Below are 4,699 nucleotides of genomic sequence, written 5' to 3'. Positions count from 1 at the left end.
GATTCTCTTGCCTTTTTGAATGTTTAGAGATAATACGTAATGCGGTGTGAAATATAAGTAAAATATAATCATGAATGTGATTATCCTGGTAATCATGGGATAAGTATCCTGCAGAAATTATGGATACTGCATTTTCATTTCAGCTCTTGATTTTTTTAATAAAAAACAAGTTGTCTTTTCATAGGTGCAGGGCTCATGTTGTGAGAATTGACTTCAATAAGCTATAAAACACAGAGAAGTGTGAAAAATTGCAACGACAAGGCTATATTTGTACTTCTTGGTACAGAAGTTTGTAATATGATTGATGGACTATAGTACAATTCTTTCCTTGGAAAATTCAAGCATCATAACATTAGAAATCATAGATAGCACTTAATAAGAATTGATTATACAGGAAAGGTGGGCTCTTATAGAACATTGTCTCTTCCAGGTTCTGTAATTGGGTCAGGCTTGCTTTGAAGAGGAGGAAATATCTAGCATGCTTACCCTGGGTATGAACATTGTGATATACTTTGAGGATACAGCAAGAAAGAGTGAGGACATGAAAAGATTTATTATTAAATGATGACATTGTTATCTGTTTGTGAAAACTGATGGAATTAATTGAGGCAATCATTTAAAAAAGGAGGCCACAGTTTTCCCCAGTTAGCTGGGTCCTCTCATAGAAGAGTGATGAAAACAAGAATGGTCATAATCAGCCCAGTTACCTCAATTTTTGTCTTCACTTTGGATGTGTATATGTGAATTCCATTTTTTCACACTGTACAGTTGTGTTGTAAGCATAATGGAATCAGACCTAGTCAAATATTTGTCCTTTAATGGCTGAAAGCGAACCAAAAGGGCAATTTAAGGCTTAGTATCCATAGATGATGTGTGTGGGATATTTTTTGAAGGACAGAAATTGTCTGTCAACAACAGCAGAGCAGCAGCTGATAGGCCTGGTTGACATTTGGGATGAAGAAATTTTTCTAGAGGAAAACCTTCAGGCAGAGCAGGCCTCCAAGAGGCAGTTATCTCTAGCAACCCATGATTCCAAAAATAGCAGCAGCCCCTACAACAGAAGCAGCATTTGTAAACCAAGAGGTATTCAATATAAGTTTGAATGATGGAAGGATCTATTGAGTGCATGTGGGTGTTTTTAAGTCTCATCTTCAAGTGAAAATGTCAAGTGTGTGCTTACATGTATTCTTTTTTTTTTTTTTTTTTTTTTTTTGAGACGGAGTCTCGCTGTCGCCCAGGTTGAAGTGCAGTGGCGCGATCTCGGCTCACTGCAGGCTCCGCCTCCCGGGTTCACGCCATTCTCCTGTCTTAGCCTTTTGAGTAGCTGGGACTACAGGTGCCCGCCACCTCGCCCGGCTAATTTTTTGTATTTTTAGTAGAGATGGGGTTTCACCGTGTTAGCCAGGATGGTCTCGATCTCCTGACCTCGTGATCCGCCCACCTCGGCCTCCCAAAGTGCTGGGATTACAGGCGTGAGCCACCGCGCCCAGCCTGCTTACATGTATTCTAAGGTATGTGTGTATGCCTTTGATTTCATTTTCATAGGCATGCATACACACACATATTTGCATATATGTCAACAGAAAATTTGATGAAATATTGTAAACTACTCAGTGTTTTGAGTATTTTTTGTTTTGTTTTGTGTGCTATTGAGAGAATAAATGCTAAACAAACTCAGGGAAAGGGGTGGGGAGTCTGAATAATGTATGCCCCTTTTACTAGTTAGGCTATTATTCTGGCTTCAAATGTTAAATCTGGTCTGTCAGTTTAGACATAACTGAATCAAGACCATGTACTCAAGCCCCTTAAAGGTGTTAATACAAGAACTTCAATCACACTGAGGGTGTTTGGTGAGAATCCCTAACAAATGTCACCAGTCTTACCAGATAGTTCGACGCATCCCCTGATCAGTGTGATGAAAGTATTTTTAAAGAGTAGTAGGCTTTGTTTTGTTTTGTTTTGTTTGTTTGTGTAACTGTTGTAACAGTGCTTGTTTGGGGAACTGGTTTAAGAGGAGACATTCCCTTGTAGTGACTGCAATTTTAACAACAACAGATAAACTCTTTGTAGCAAATCTCCACTGGGGTAGAACTAAAATCTAGAAGTAATCAGCAACCACTGAGCATCAGAAATTCTTCAAAAAACATTTAAACGCAGCTGGAGTCGGCTAGTAGTTGGGATAAGATTCAGGTACCTAATCACCTGGGGTTAGTCGCCATCCCCCTTCTTCCTTGTCTTGAATGCGGAACTAAAAAGCCCCAGGGTGTTGTTGGTTGCGAAGAAACTATGGCATCTGACACCTGCTGGGAGCAATAAATAAAGAACTATGCCTGCCCTTGTCGGTTTGTTCCTATCCTGCTCACTACTAGAGTTGCAGTCTTTTCTTCTGTGCTGGGTTTCAGGAGAGAAGAGTTCTGTTTTGCCATGTAAACAAATCTGATAAGAGAAAGCCATTGCTGTTCAGGCAGTCATTTTTGACACACATGTTTGACCTGTAATAGAGGCAAGTCTTCACTTCTGAGAATTATGGTTGGCCAGTAATTTTTCTGGAGGGAACATCATTCCTAGGCAGGCTTTTGAAGTGGGCTTGGCTCACTTTGTCTTTTTACTGTTGGAAGATAGGTTTCCTGTTAACTAGGAAAAATTGGTTGTTCCTGATGATTTGTGAAAGCTGAGTTAATACTTCATGTCAACCAGTCTTCTCCAGTTACACTGAGGTTGCTTACAATTTTATTTCGAAGTAAACAGATGCTAATAAACACAGATGAATATCTCTTTTATGTAGGGCACTACATAGAACCACAAACACAAAATAGCCTAGAAATCTTCCAATAATAAGGGAGTATAAGGGTATATATATGTATATATATATACACACAGCACTGGCTCTGTTGCTTTATGGTCTGCAAATGTTGGGATTGCTACAGAAGTCAAATTCATCAGGACACATCTTTCAGTTATCAAGAGAAAAGGAAAATCAAGTAGCCTCTAATGAGCTCTCCTTAAATTTTAACATCCAAACGCCCAACCCATCCAATTATTTGCTTGTAGAAGCAATTACTGTAACCTCCCCCAATTTAAACTAGCCATTGGTTTTCTTGCTAAAATTCACACTTTTCTCTATTTGGCAAGTAAGGCAGAGCACAATATTTTGCATTCTGTTAAAATGTATTTTCCCCCCTCTGGAGAAAGAATGAAAATGTGTTTCATGCCATATGCCTGATATTTTCTAGTTGTACTTGTTCACATATTTTTGACTCTACAATAGCTGGCACTGTGAGATGCAAATCCCAGGCATTCTTTAGATACAGTCTTGCTGAAAGGAGAAAACAAAGAAATTGGGTAAAATCTGTTTAATTTCAATTACTAATAAGGTCAGAAAGTTTTAAGGGATGTTTTCCATTTGCTTTACTTAGAATAAGTGAATACTCTTATTTATTAACAAGACATTATATTTAAGCAGAAATTTAAATCCAAGTGGTTCTTATCATTTTAGAGAGGCTCTCTCTCTCTCTTTCTCTCTGTCTGTTCCTGAGTACTGGTTGCAAGTAATGTTACACACTTCTTAAAGAAGAAAATAGTTATTATTGTGGGAACTGAGGAAGCCTACCAAAGGAGGAGGCATAGTACATCATTTCTCCTTTAATTCCTGCATTCTCCTCTAGGCAAACCTTCACCAGTGGTCTCAACTAAAAGCTTTTCCTGAATGAATGAATGACAGTAGGTGTTCCAAACTATTGATTTTCCTCTAATTTGTGGCGTGATCTCTCTTCACTGCAAACTCCACCTCCTGGGTTCAAGTGATTCTCCTGCCTCAGCCTCCCAAGTAGCTGGGTCTACAGGTACCCACCACCACATCCAGTTAATTTTTTTTTTTTTTTGTATTTTTAGCAAAGACGGGGTTTCACCATGTTTGCTAGCCTGATCTTGAACTCCTGACCTCAAGTGATCCACCCACCTCAGCCTCCCAAAGTGCTGGGATTACAGGCATGAGCCACCACACCCGGCGTCATGCATTCCTTTTGAAACACTTGTAAGAGCTAACTGTGAAAACAAAAAGTCTAGAAAAATATACTTCTGAATATTAACAGTGGTTACATCCAGATAGTAACATATAGGTAATTTTTGTTTCACTTTTTGTCATTTCTAATTTTGCTACAATGAAAGTAGGTTATTTGTGTAAAAGAAATTCAAAATTAGGTTACTTTTAGGATATATTTTCTCTTTGAAAAGATGACATCAGAAATCTATTGACAACTTAATTACCTATTCATTATTTCTATTAATATTTATCCAATGCCTGTTAAATGCCAGCCTATCTCTTCATTATCCAAAATCCAGAGTCATCTAAACACAGTTTCTCCCTTCAAGGCACTCACAACTTTGGCATTGTTTTCCAATAGTTGGCTTTATACTAACCATAACTTTCATTTTCTATATTTCATAGTTTTTTTGTATATTTCTGCAGTACACATGTTGTCTTCTCATTTCATCCTTAATATAATCAACATTTCCCCTTGACCTTGAAGTTGTTATTGCTTGATAAGACATCTGGGGGTTTTCATCTTCCTATAAACCCTTCAATAACGCTATCATGGTTATGTTCAAAAGAATATTGCAGTTTCCCTTCTTACACATGTGATGTTTTACTGGCACCATTTATAAGCAAGTCTTAATATCTGTCAATTAGAAATTGTTA

This window comes from Homo sapiens, chromosome 2 (genome assembly GCF_000001405.40).
Source record: "Homo sapiens chromosome 2, GRCh38.p14 Primary Assembly".
Lineage (NCBI taxonomy): Eukaryota > Metazoa > Chordata > Mammalia > Primates > Hominidae > Homo > Homo sapiens.
The sequence above is the reverse complement of the archived record's forward strand: the minus strand, read 5'-3'. Positions refer to the sequence as shown.